The 15,276-nt window shown below is 33.4% G+C and overlaps 1 annotated feature.

The window, feature by feature from the left end:
- Positions 1,462 to 2,661: an enhancer, noted in NCBI's record as "P300/CBP strongly-dependent group 1 enhancer chr12:61045109-61046308 (GRCh37/hg19 assembly coordinates)". NCBI's record gives its function as "activates an origin of replication core promoter dependent on BRD2, BRD4, P300/CBP, MED14 and CDK7 cofactors, with strong dependence on P300/CBP, by STARR-seq in HCT116 cells {active_cell/tissue: HCT116}" and the evidence as "EXISTENCE:reporter gene assay evidence [ECO:0000049][PMID:35650434]".

Raw genomic sequence — 15,276 nt, forward strand, 5'->3', positions numbered from 1 at the left:
GTGGTGTTGTCTCCTAATGTACTTTGTGCCTTGGTCAGTCTTGACTCAAAAATATGGGCTGAAAATGTTTGTATTTGTTTTCATGGGTTGCTGTTAAAAAAAAAAAAGCATCACAGAATAGGTGGAATATACAATAGAAATTGATTCGCTCAGAGTTCTAGAATCTAGAAGTTCCAGATGTGAAAGTATTAGCATGGTTGCTTCTTTCTTAATGCTGTGAGAAAACAAACAAACAAACAAAATTTTTTCCATGCCTCTTTTCTACCTTCTGGTGGTTTGCTGGCAATCACAGAGCCCCTTGGCTTGCAGAAGTATCATCTAGTCTGTGCCTTCTTTTTCACATAGTGTTCTTCATGTATGTGTGTTTTCAATTGTTTTCTTTTTATAAGGGCACCTGTCATATTGGATTAGAGGCTCACCCTGCTCCAATATGACCATATATTTTCTAAGTACAACTGCATTGACCCTATTTTCAAATAAGCTCATATTGTGTAATATTGAGGATTAGAACTTCAGCATATGAAATCTGGGGGAATACAATTTATCCCATGATAGGATGCACAATAATTATGATGGAGTTTCAAGTCAATAATACTGATTTAGTTCTCCTGATAGGAAAGATTCAGTTCTATGGGAGAGATTCTGGTCTATCTTTTGCTATCAAGTAAATATTGAGTGTGTCCTTTTTGTTCTCCAATGTGTATTTATACTAATGTTAAATATAACACTATAGAAATATTTTTAAATTTCTATTTATTATCAATTATTAAAAACTCCTTAAATAACAGTCAATCCAGGATATCTGAAACTATTCCAAAAGTTAATATGTCATTCTTTCACATATAACTTACTACTGCAGGTAGAATAAAAATCTGAGTTTTATGATATAATCACAGGTAATGACTTATAAGCTAGAGAAAATTAGTTAGATTATACATATATTTTTTACCAGCAAAAATTTAATAAAAGCCATTTTCCTAGTGTTATTTATATACTATGATGATTGAAAGCATTATTGTATGTGTAAGCTTTAACCTGTATTTCCAGTACTTTAAAAGTCCCTTCATATAAAATGTTTTAAACTGTTTTATTGTTTCAACACTAGTAGTAGCACCTCAGTTTAAAAAAAAATCTTGTATTTTATGAATTTAAAACTACAGAATTTTAGTCTTTAAATTAACTTTCAAGTAAGTGCCATATAAACTCAAAGTGGTCATCACAGATTGTAATTATTATACTCTACACGTGTTATATTGTAATTTGTGTAACATTTAGCTGTGAAAATAGACCAACACTTTTTTTGTGTGTCAATGATCTAATAGTATGTTTTCTCAATATTTAAAGAGGTGATGATCACATGAATATAAATTAATTAACCTTGTCAAATCTTTTACACCATATAATTTGATGGCATTAAAGAAAAACACATTTTTTTAAAAAAAACAATATTGGTTTCTTTCCTATACTAAATTAAAATCTGGCACATACCTTACATAACAATGGTACTTCCTTCAAAACTAAGAAATTAATATTAGCATGATAGTATTAATACAGACTTTATTCAGGTTTCAACATTTTCCACCAATGTTCTTTATCTGTTGTTCCAGGAGGCATTTTGAAAACTATGTCTTCACTTGTTTTTGCATCTTCTCCAAATTGTAATAGTTTTTCAGTCTTTGCTTGTATTCCATAACACTTTTAAAGATTAATGTTAAAAAATGTTGTAGAATTCCCCTCAATTTAGGTTTGTCTAATATTTCCACATGATTGGAATAAGTTTACTGATTTTAGGGGGAAATAGCACAGAAGAAAAGTTCTTTTGTTATCACATCATATCGGGGGTACATGATATCAGCATGAGTTATTCATAACCTTAAAGTTGATCACTTGATTAAGGTAGAGTGCCAGTTTACTTCAATGAAAAGTTAGTGTTTTATTTTTCATGCTTGTTAGAAACAAATACTTGTTCCTCGATGCTGAAAAGAACTAGCGCTCAGACAAAGAATTTAATTCTCTCAGCAAGGTAATTTTTACTTCTATAGAAGGGTGCAACCCCCGGATGGAGCAATGGCAAGAGACCTGAACACAGGAGAGGAAGGGGTTCTTATTCCTGATGCAGGTAGCCCCTACTGCTGTGTCATTCCCCTATTGGCTAGGGTTGGACTGCACAGTCTAAGCTAATTCCGATGGGCTTTTTTAAAGAGAGCAGGGGTAGGAGCTGGAGTGGCGGGGTGAGTAGTTTGGCAGGAAGGACGGTTACAGAACAGGTGACTCAGGATGTATCAGGACAGAGGAGGTGACCAGGTGTGACTCAGGTCAAAGCAGGTGACCAGGGGAACAGATGTGAACTACTGATTACAACTGGCGGGAAAGTTGTTTACTGAAACTAAAGGGAAAGGGGGGAAGAGAACCAGGAAGTTAAACTTTAAAATGGAGAACAGAGGGCCGGGTGCGATGGCTCATGCCTGTAGTCCCAGCACTTTGGGAGGGTGAGGCGGGCGCATCACCTGAGGTCAGGAGTTCGAGACCAGCCTGATCAACATGGTGAACCCCATCTCTACTAAAAATACAAAAATTAGCTGGGCGTGGTAGTGAGCACCTGTAATCCCAGCTACTCAGGAGGCTGAGGCAGGAGAATTGCTTGAATCCGGGAAGTGGAGGTTGCAGTGAGCTGAGATCATGCCACTGCACTCCAGCCTGAGTGATAGAGTGAGACTCCGTCTTAAAAAAAAAAAAAAAAAGAAAAAAAAAAGAATAAGAAAGCTGAACATACTGACATACTGATTCTTTGAAGAGAAACTTGGGGTTTACTGTATTTAATATACTTTATTCTTTGCAAATGAGTTATTAAATCCAGCCTATATTCAAAAGGACAGAAATTAAGCTTTAACTCTTAGAGAAAAGAGTATCAAAGGTTTTATGGACATGTATTAAAACAGCCACAGTAAACATGCTAACCTGTTTATAAATACATGGCTATGCACTTTCTTTATCTATCTATAGCCAAACATGGGTTTATACTGATATCTCTAAATTAACATTATACCATACACTCTGGCATTTATTCTTGCTTATTTATAACTTCTTGATCTGACAATTAGATATCTGGTTCTAATCATATGCAATCTTTTTATCATTTATTTAACCCTAACATATAGGTAAGCTATTTTTAAAATTGCTAAATGACACCCCTGTGAGAAAGAAATTTACCACTAGAGTATACCAATTGTCTTTAACCTTATATTATCTATGAAAATACTGTTGCACAGTGATTCTTTGATCACTTTCATCAGTTTTTGTACTTTTAAGCGTATATATTCTGCATATTTTATAAGATTATACAAAGTATTTCATTTTAAATGTTTCTATTGTTGATTGATTTTTAAGCTTAAATTCCATTTGTTCATCGCTATATAAAATTAAGACTGACATTGTATATTACCTTGTATACTATAAACTTTGCTAAGCTCAACTTTTAGTTAAAGGACTTTTTACATATTATATTGGATATTGATTTATAAATTGTCTATGGTTGTTTTTATGCTACAAAGTCAGAAATTAATAATTTTACAGAGTTTGTGTGGACCTCATAGCCCAATATGCTATATAGCCTTTTATGTAGTTTTAAAATACTTACTCTACAGGTTTTTAAATTTTTTCCTGTGATATTTTTGTTAGTTTTAGCATTCAGGTAATGTTGAACTCATAAAATCAGCTGGTAAATGTTTTCTTCTTTTCTTTTATTTGGAAGTGATTATATCAAATTCGTATCATTTCTTCTCTAAATGCTTCACAGAATTCACTGGTTAAACCATATGTACCTGGAGTATTCTTTTTTGTAGGAGTTTCAGTTACAAAATTCAATTTATTTTACATGCACTAGGCTATTTTGGTTATTTGTTTCTTCCTGAGTTAGGCTTTTTTTTTTTTTTTTTTAATTAGGGTTTTGTTTTTTTGTTTTGTTTTATTTTGTTTTGAGATTCTGTACTCCAGGCTGGTGTGGTGCAGTGGTGTGATCTCAGCTCACTGCAACCTCTGCCTCCAGAGTTCAAGTGATTCTCCTGCCTCAGCCTCCCGAGTAGCTAGGATTACACATGCGCACCACCACGCACAGCTAATTTTTGTATTTTTAGTAGAGACAGGTTTTGCTATGTTTGCCAAGCTGGTCTCAAACTCCTGACCTCAAGTGATCTGCTTGCCTTGGCATCCCAAAGTGCCAGAATTATAGGCATGAGCCACCACGCCCAGGCTTGAGATAGTTTTTAAGTAATGTCTTCCAAGGAATTGGAGCATTTTATCTAAACTTGTAGAGTTGGTTATCATATATTTTTTATTTTCCTTTTAATGTATTTAGGGTATATAACAATATTCCATGTTCATTCCAACATTGGCCATATCTGTCATTTTCTTTACTTTTTGTTTTGTTTTGTTTTCTTGGTTAGATTAGCTATGGTTATATCAGAAACTAAGGTAACTAATTTTATTTCCTGTTTTTCTAATATAAGCGCTTGATGGTATGAATTTTCCTTTAAGTTTGTTAGCTACATTTGACAATTTTGCAATGTTTTATTTTCATTTTTGCTTAGTAAAAATATTTCTAAAATATCTCTTCAGTCTTCCTTATTTATTTGAGTTTATTTCTGTTCTTTTAAATTTGTTAAGATTTTTTTAATGGCACATTTTAGTGACTGTCCATGTGTCCTGGTGGAAATATGTATTCTCATGTTTTTGAGTTGAGTTTTCTGTAACTTTCAATTAGATCAAGTTGGTCAATAGTGTTTATCAGGTCACCTATAGTCTTACTAATTTTTTCCCGCTTGTTCTTTCAATTATTGAGAGATGATTGTTGAATATAACAACTATAACTGTAAATGTGTTTATTTCTCCTTTTAGAGCTATCAGTTTTTGCCTCATTTATTTTGTAACTCTATTGTTAGGTGCATATACATCTATGATTGTTATGTCTGCATAAAGAGTTTATCCCTTTACCATGATATAATGTTTTTCTGATTTTCCCCCTTATTTTAAAGTCTACTCTGTCTGAAATTTATATACTTTTTCTGTTTTTGTTCTGTTTAGGGTCCGTATGACATGTGTTTCTCATCCTTTTAATTTATGTATGACTTTATAGTTAAAACATGTTATTTGGAAAAAGTAAATAGTTGCAAGAGGTTTCCTCCAGTGTTCTAAGGTGGCAGACTTTGTTGTCCTTGCCTCTGCAGATTAAGACTTTAATTCCAGGCCAGGTGCGATGGCTCACGCCTGTAATCCCAGCACTTTGGGAGGCCGAGGCGGGCGGATCACGAGGTCAGGAGATCGAGACCATCCTGGCTAACACGGCGAAACCCCGTCTCTACTAAAAATACAAAAAATTAGCCAGGCGCGGTGACCGGCGCCTGTAGTCCCACCTACTCGGGAGGCTGAGGCCAGAGAATGGCGTGAACCCGGGAGGCGGAGCTTGCAGTGAACCGAGATCGTAACACTGCACTCCAGCCTGGGTGACAGAGCGAGACTCTGGCTCAAAAAAAAAAAAAAAAAAAGACTTTAATTCCACAAATAAGAGAAATGGCAAGGGGGAGAGTCTTGGCAGAATATCAGCAGTAGCTTTTTTCCCCCTCCCTGAGCCAGTACTACAAGAGCAGGTTTCCCAGTATTCTTCCTGATCTTTCCTATTGCTGCCTGTAAAGTTTGTGGAGGAAAAAAAACTCTGCAAGAGGTTACAAATTTCCCTATGCCTCTGGCCTTTAGGGGCTTGAAATTCGCACACTATACACATTCAGCTTACCAAAATATAGCTGAATGTTTATTATCAGCATGTACGATTTCCAATAGCATCTACCCTGGTGAACTAATACATGGATACTGTTGCTGTCTGCAGGCATCTAGCACTCCGAAGATTCCATGTTGGTTATTTGTCCTGTTTATTAGTTTTTCATGGGTTCTATAACAAATTACCAAAAACTTAGAGACTTAAGCAACACAAATCTATTATCTTACATTTCTATATGTCAGAAGCCTGGCATGAATCTTTCTGGGTCAACATAAAGGTACTATTAGGGCTCTTCCATTCTGTAGGTTCTAGGTAGGATATTTTTTTTCTTTATCAGGTTCTAGAGAAGACTCGCATTCTTTCACTCATGGCTCCTGTTCTTCACCTTCAAAGTTAGCAAAAGTGAACTGAGTCCTCATATCACATCACTCTTCTGCCTGAATCCCACTTTTTCATGTAATGTATAACGTATTCACAGGTTCTGGGATTAGGGCATATGCATCTTTGGAGAGACCATTATTCTACCTACCACAGTTTGTCTTCCAGTTCGCAAAAAGTTATGTCTGTCCTACATGAATGCTCCTTTTTCATGGTCTCAAATTTTCTCAACCCATTACCCTCTGTGAACTCAGGTCTCCAATGGGTTCAAGAAAAAATATCATTGTGTATTTCCAGCTTTTTTGTTTAAGCAAGAATTAGAGTGATGCTCTTTCCAGGTTTCTACACATCTCTAATAAAACTTGAACCTTCAAACCACATTTTGTGTAGTAATAAGACATGAAATAAGATATAATAAGAACTAACAAGGAATAATGTATGAACAATCAATTGGCTTAAAATACTGGTGAATAATGGTAAATAATGAAATGACTATTGTTATGATTTTGCTCTGTATTTCCACTCAAATCTCATGTTGAATTATAATCCCCAGTGTTGAAGCTAGGGCCTAGTGGGAGGTGATTGGATTATGGGGGTGGTTTCTAATGGTTTAGCACTATTCCCCTAGTGCTGCCTCATGACAGAATTCTCACGAGATCTGGTCGTTTAAAAGTGTGTAGCACCTCCCCCCTTCACTGTCTTCCTCCTGCTCTGTTCATGTGAAGATGTGCCTCCTTCCTTTTTGCCTTCTGCCATTATTGTAAGTTTCCTGAGGTCTCCCCAGGCTTCCTGTACAGACTGTGGAACTGTGAGCCAATTAAACTTTTCTCTATAAATTACCCAGTATTGGGTAGTTCTTTATAGCATTGTGAGAATAGACAAATACAACTACCTTTGACTTTCTGTAATATTTTCATGTTATAATATTGAGTATATTTTGATATAAAGTACAACTGTTCCCTACACAATCAGGAAGATTACTAACATCATAAAGTACCGTTTTTACAAATAAATTACTTTCACCAGATGTGGGAACAAGATACTCAAAACTACATATGATATAAAACAGCTGGATATCAGTAATATATGTCTCTCCAGCAGTATGTACCTAAATATCTCTATATTATAATGTTATGTTTTATTTAGATACTTAGAGTTATGGTCATGTTATCAGGAAATACATTTCATGCAGCATTTAGATAATTATTTAGGTAATTAGATAATAGCCTATTGCACAATTGGTTACCTTTATATTTGTCAGCCAACATACAAAATGTCCACAGAACATCACAAAGCACTTCAAACTACGTATCAGAAAAAGATATGTTGTCTGTCCTACCAAAGGAATTTCAAGTATTAAGAGAGGCAGAAAGAAAATTATGCTTAAAGATAATTAAGCATTGTAATTATGATTCATATGAATTAAGGGGAAATAGAAAAGGTAGTGATTTTTTTGGGAAAGTGGACAAAAAGTAAGATTCCCCAGAAAACGTTTTGGAGAAAATGACATTGGGTGTTTATAAGCGATTTTATGGTTCTTAGTTCATATTTCTGTACTTATACATGTTATAACTGGAGCTGATAAATCCTAAAAAATGTACCCACAAACTGCTACCCAGGAACATAAATTTATTAATATGTATCTAAGAAGCAAACTATATCATAGCCATCTATCAGTGTAGAAGATGATATATAAGAAATCCAGGAAGAATATAGCCAGGTAAGTGCTCAGGTTTTTTCTTTTTTTCTTGGATATAGCAAGAACACAATCAATCTATCTCATTTTGACCAACATGCTGCAAACTCTAAGGGCTACAAGAATCAAATTTCACATGGACAGAAGAAAACAATATCATGCAATTTATACTATTTTCTTTATAATTTTCACTGCATAAAATACCTTGTCACTGTTAGCTACAAGATGTCATATTATCATATTTTTCTCTTTGACATTCCATCAAGCACTACGTTCCAGGAAAAAGAAAATTTTCTCACAATGTAGTCAAAATAATAATTTTGTAATCTGTGAACTTTCTGTGGAATCTTTAGAAAACAGAAGCTTACTTTGTTTTACCTCAAATGCTTAATTTCTTCCTGGATAATCCTCAGAAGGCAAACAATTATGATACATTTACAGAAACTCAAAAGAGGTCAAGAATACCTGCCTGCTTCTTTTCTGACTGATAGTGCTTGATATGGCTAAGAACTACAGACCCTACATTATAGCAAAACTAATTAAGAAACCCTGCAGTTCTTACATGGTCAACACAAACTGGTTTTGGTTTAACTCCCTCTTGAATTTCCCCAGAAAAAAAGATTCTCTGTATCAGTTCCATTCAAGAACAGCATGTGGACTTCATTCACTTTGTAGTATGTGACATGGCATGATTTTGTGAACACCCTCACCTTAGAGGTGAAAAAATTGGCACAGGTTTTATCTGACTGATTTGTTTCACTTATCTGCCAGTAGTTTTATGCTAGTTGGTCTCTTCTGGTCAGAACAGGTCTTTAGCAGGGGCAAACTTAATGAAGATAAGAATGCATTAGAGTCCAGATGAAATTCTATATATTATGCAGTGTTATTCTAGTTTGTTTTTTACTTTGATGTATTCTTATATTTGCTCCATTGGTGTTTCTTGCTCTCAAATACTACGTTTAGCATAGCATTTAATGACATATAGTACAATTCTTAAGTAAAAAGTATTGCAGGCACCATCTATTGTAATGTATTTCTGTGAATGCAATAATAATTTTTTCTGGATTTATTTTATTGTTACACCTGTGTGCTTGACAGTAAGTGTTTTGCCAACTATTTGGAAGTTCCCAGTTGTACTCAACATTAGAACAACATAGAAATGGAAAAATCTATCACTTGATAACCATAGATCTTTTACGTACATTTCAATTATGTACGGTATATGTTGAGATTCATGGAAAAAGTTTTATGAGTAAGGAATGCTAATTCTCTGTAGGTACATAAGCAGTCTTATTAATTCTCTTCAAGTTTTGGGTTCCTGGGTTATTTTTAAATATTAAATTTAAAATCTTATTAAATATAATTTACAGATTCAAACATTATTTATGAATCTTTAAAAATTCCAATTCCACAAAGTTAAAGTTTTGCATTTTTTAAAATATTTTACTGAGTCAAATTATTCCTTCTTGCAACAGTCTTTGAAAACTTTGGGTGAAATTTTTGAGCTACATCAAAGTCCTTTTTTATGTGACAATCTTTTCAAAGTTCCTAAAATATTATGACATCTATACCAAGCACAATATTGTAGGTATGGAACTTTGAAAAATAGCCTGGAAGAAGATAACATTTGTGTTAGAATTTGCCTAATAAACATATCATGAGTTATTTCTAAGGATGCTAATAGCAAGAGGAGACAAAAACTAATTTCAACTCAGCAATCAAAAGATTGTCACAGTAATCAAAAGATTGGAAGGAGAAGTTGAAACATGACACAAGATAAATAGATGTTGAGTTATTCCAGCATATGATGGTTACTATGACATGATCAATACATAGTAAATGTACAGGTTATATGCATGTTGATGGAAAGATACATCTTAGGACATCTTCGTAATTTTTTTCCTAAAATGATTAAAAAGTAATTACAGAAATATGTCATTACAGAGGTTCTAGAATGTTGTTGAATTATCAAAATATTTAAAGATCATTATTTTATAATCTTATCCAAATCACTTAATCAGAGGATTATGGCTACAAAATACGAGTGAAAGTAAGTAACTAATTTAATGGTTCAGAATGAAAGTGCCAATTCAGTTTACTCACTATAGTATTTGCTAATACAAATATTCTCATTACCTAAATTACTGGCTGGGATTATAGTAAATGAGGCACTTTGAAGGTGCTAGTAGCTTAAAAGTGACATTCAATATTTTCATATAAATTTAAAAATTTTCTAACCTATATGTTTGCAAAATCCTGGAAAGATCTTAGTCATTGACCTTTAAAAATTACAGATAATTTATAGACAAAAAAATCTAGTGAATAAGAATATTTAAGAATGTGACTACCTTCATATCATGAAAGAACCACCTGTATGGTAAATTCTAGTAGCTTCAGGAATTCAAATAATTGGCAACTTAGGTAATTCACCATACATCACATAAACATAGTGATATAATGATAGTAAAACATTAGGATGACATTGATGAAGTATTTTTTTATAAAAAAGGGGAGACATGATTACTTTTGGGATATCCTAGGGTTTTAGTTGATTCAGTAATTCATTAAAGTGGTGACTAGCTTATTTCTGTCTCTTCACTGACTTGTGATGTAACGATGTGCTTTGCAGAGGTAAGGTGGTTTAACAAGCTGACCTGTTTACATAGGATCTGTAAATATTGCATGAGGTGAAGCATTAATTAGGTCTCTTGATTGCACAGACTGAAATGAAGGGTTTCTCAGAGGAGTTTTGTGCCTTCAGTAGCTTTTTTTTGAGTTTAACCTCATTCAATAAAAGGCCATTGGCTTGAAATGCCTTCTGAACTTCTGAGTTTACTTTGTAAGCATCATTCTAGGTTCCTGTGTATAATACTGGTTGTTACCCAGTAATAAAACTGTTGCCTTCATTAATCACTAAGGTCTCATAATTTTTAGCGCTGATGGAAGAAAACAAAAGAAGTAGTATTAAACTATTTATTTTGAAAATATTTCTCTTTAATTAACTTGGAATATAGATAGTAAAAAAAGGAATATAGATAATAAAGGGCATTATTTGCTCAGGTCTTTGTCATATGAAAGTAAATTAAAACTTTTTACCTCATATATAACCTGTATTTGTTTAATATATAGCATAGAAGAATTCTTGTAAGAATTCTTTATCTTACAAGTAATCTTGTAGAAATGATGTTACAACTGTCACATTTAAAACTTTAAATGTGTGATGCAAAATAAATCTGAATTTGATACACTAGTACTTTTTTGCATCTCAGTGAATAGATTTCAAATTACAGATGCCAGTATTATATTTTAATCATGTGTTTCTCTGTGTATAGAATATGGTCTTGTAAAAATGGTGGCATGTCTTATTTTCTAATAGCAAATAAAAACAACAGTTCGCTTGAAGTTTATGAGCATACATCACAACTCTACAATTATATATATATATATAATTTTTTAATGTTAATTTACATTCAGGGGTACAAGTGCAGGTTTGTTATATAGGTAAACTTGTGTCATGGGGATTTGTTGTATAGATTATTTCATTACCCAGGTATTGAGTCTAGAATTTATTAGTTACTTTTTCCTGATCTTCTCCCTCCTCCTTCCCTCCCCTCTCTGAAAGGCCCTAGTGTGTGTTGTTTCCCTCTATGAGTCCATGTGCTCTCATCATTTAGCTCCCTAAAAAGGTGTATTTTCAGGGTACAAATAGAATATAAAGAACATTTTTTGTCCCTATTCTCAAAATGGATTTTGAAACCACTTCTGAGGCATCTCAGATGTCTAAATGCTCTTTGGTAAACATTAAAATGCCATCTCTGTCCTTGTTTAGCCATTATTGATTTTCTATTAAAAGTAGATGAAAGGTCTGCTTGGGGAATACTGCCATATAATTGCTGCAATGACCTAACCATCTAATACTACTCAGGGCAAAAGCCATTTGATCAAAATCAATGTAAAATACACATTTATCCTCCTGAAACTTCTAGGGTGTGGTGGAAAGGAAGGGGAATACACCAAATATTAAGAGTTATATTTAGTAATGTGACATCAGAAGTAAGAGCAATCACATTTTTACTAACACTCAAATTCAAACAGCTCTGTGTGACTGAATTCTGGAGTTATATGGCTTATCAACATCAGAATAGACAAATCAATGACTTCTTAAAAAACTAGAGTTTTTTAAAACAAAGAATTTCTCATTAGTGCCAGGAATTTAGCTTTAGAAAACTGCCCAAATACCATGCTTTTTTGTTTGTTTGTTTAAGCACATGGTTATATAACACATGCAATGAATATAACATATCTAATAAATATGTCATGTATTCACGGCAAAGCTAATATTTTCACCTTTTGTTATATCTTCCCTAACTCTTTTTTTTTTTAGTGTGGGGGTCCATATAGATAGCATTCCATATCCACATGAAAATTATGCCCTAGCTTAGGAATATTAGTCAGATTTGTAGTATTCAATTTCTGCTCTATCAAGTCCTAATTCTCATTTGATCTCAAGAACCGGAGAGTGTTATTAGACACTTTAGTGGACATCCTTTACGGATAAAGGAGGATTTGCCATGAGCAAATGTATTAAACTTCAGGCCTTCCAGACAGAGCTTTTTCTGTGACCCTGGAAAGGGTTCTCACAATGTGTACATGGATTGACATATGTTTGTAAAATTTATGTTAGTAAAAATGTGTTTACAATTTGCTGCAATTACTTTTCTAATTCTACATAATGTAAATATCTTTATTTTGTTTTATAATTCTTACAGAGTCCAGCATTTTATTAGCCTAAGGCCCACGAATACTGGATTTGCTTGAAAACATACAAATTGAGTGTGTGAGTAGGGGAGCACCTGATATATGACTGTAATACCAACAATGTGTATTTGGTCTAGAGGATATCATTTAAAGTGTACATGTTTTGTTACCCTAATTGACCAAGTCCCAACTGAAAAAGGTCAGCCTGTATGAAAACAATATTTCAGCATTGCTTTTTAACAAGACTTAACTTTTTAACTCACTCTAAAATAATGTTATTTTAATAACTTGCAATACTCTTGTAAGCAGGAATCCATCATTTCTAGCAGCTATAGTTTCCATCCCTACTACTTCTCCCACCTACCCATTCACACAGTTATATGAAAATTTCCCTATTGGGCATTATCTGTGAGAGAGAAAGTCTGAGCAGAATGATCTCTAATGCAATCTATGACATCCCAAGAATGTACACAAGGTAAGAACTTATCTGTAGTATGTCAAATAATTCATGTAATTAGAAATTTTGCACCTGGGTTGGATGTAGGAAAACATCTTCCTACATTCTAGGAAAGAATCTTTGACATTCTTTCTTTAATTAATTTAAGAAATATTAATTGAGCACATTTCTGGGAAAGGCACTCTTCTAAAAATGGAGCAAGACAGATGCATCTGCTGCTTTTTAAAAAGATAAATCTGGCAAAAACTCTGGTGCCACATATCCACTATCATGTCAATTGAAAAGATCAGTCGTAAAGAAGCAAGAGTAGAAAATCATCTCTTCCCTTGGAAATGTACCTGGATTTTCTACCTGACACACCCAGAGCAACTCAAGCTTCATCATTTAAGGAGAGGCAATTTTGATGGAGGATGGAGAAGTATCTTTCATGATAGAGTATTACTAGTAGAATCATTATCATCAGAAAGACTATACAAACATTTATAGTGTAGTCTCCTTGCTTGATGACATACTAAGTAATCATAACAAATCCCACTCTATTATATCCCATATAGATGTTTATATAATGTATTGATTCTTCAGTGTTCTTAGAATGATAAAGAGATAGGGATAAATAAATTTTTGTGTGGGTACACATTTGTATGTGTCTCTATTCTGTCATCTTTTGTGACTATCTTCTGGTGGTAAAATAACATTTCCAAGCATAGAGTTGAAAGAACCATGGACTTGAATTCAGGTCATATCAGAGTTAAATTCAAGGTCGACACTTTAAAACTGTGTGATACATTCCTATGTTTTATAATCCTCAAGTTTCATTTGTAACATAAAGTTAATAATGCCTGTTTGATGAAGAAGAGTTTTTAGATTTTAAATAGATTTACTCTCATTTGTTTTTTGATAGACACATAATTGTTTGCATTTATAGAGTACATATTGATATTTCAATACATACAATGTAAAGTGATCAAGTCAAGGTAATTAGCATATCAATCATCTCAAACATTTATCAATTTTTGTGTTGGGAAGATTTAATATCCTGCTTCTAGCCCTTTGAAAATATAAAATATATCATTGTTAACTACAGTAACCCTACAGTGCTATAGAACACTAGAACTTATTCCTCATATCTAGCTATAATTTTACACCATGTAACAAATCTTTCTATTCCCCTTTCCCCATATACTTCCCAGACTCTAGCACTTTCTGTTCTACTTTTTATCTCTATGAAACAACACTTTTAGCTTCAAAATATGAGTGAGAACATGCAGGGTTTAAGTTTCTGTGACTGGCTTATTTCACATGCCATAATGTCCCCCAGGTCTAACCATGTTACAAAAATGACAAGATTTTATTCTTTTTTAATGGATGAATAGTAGTATTTCATTTTGTATGTATAAAAAATGTATCTGTTGGACACTTGGGTTGATGCCATAGGTTGGCTATTGTAAATAGTGTCACTATAAACATGGGGGTGCAGATGACTCTTTGAAATACAGATATCCTTTCTTTTAGATAAATGCCCAGTAGCAGGGTTGTGGATCATACAGTAGTTCTATTTGCAGTTTTCTGAGACTCCTCCATGTTGTTCTTCAAAGTAGTTGTACTAGTTTACATTCTCACCAAGACTGTATAAGAGTTTCCTTTTCTCCACATCCTTGCTAGCATTTGTGATTTGTCTTTTTCATAATAGCTATCTTACCTGGTGTGAGATGATATCTCATTATGGTTTTGATTCACATTTTCCTAATGGTTAGTGATGTTGATAATTTTTTCATGTATTTGTTGGCTATTTGAATGTCTTCTCTTGAGAAATATCTGCTCAGACCATTTGCCATCTTTAAATCAATTTTTTTCCTGTTGAGATAGTTGAGTTCTTTGTATATTCTGGACATTAATATTATGTGGGAAGAGGAGTTGCAAATAATTTTGCTTATTCTGGAGGTTGTCTTTTTACACTGTTGATTATTTCTATTGCTATGCAGAAGTTTTTTAGTTTGATATAATCCTGTTTGCTTATTTTTCCTTTTGTTGCCTGTGATTTTAAGGCCTTATTCATAAAATATTTTCTCAGACCAATGTCTTGAAGTGTTCTCTCTGGGTTTTCCTTTGGTAGTTTTAAAGCTTTAAGTCTTACATGTAGGTCTTTAACCCATTTTGAGTAGATTTTTGTTTCAATTAGGGTGAAAGAAGAGAGTATAGCTTTATTCTTTTGCACAT

This window comes from Homo sapiens, chromosome 12 (genome assembly GCF_000001405.40).
Source record: "Homo sapiens chromosome 12, GRCh38.p14 Primary Assembly".
Lineage (NCBI taxonomy): Eukaryota > Metazoa > Chordata > Mammalia > Primates > Hominidae > Homo > Homo sapiens.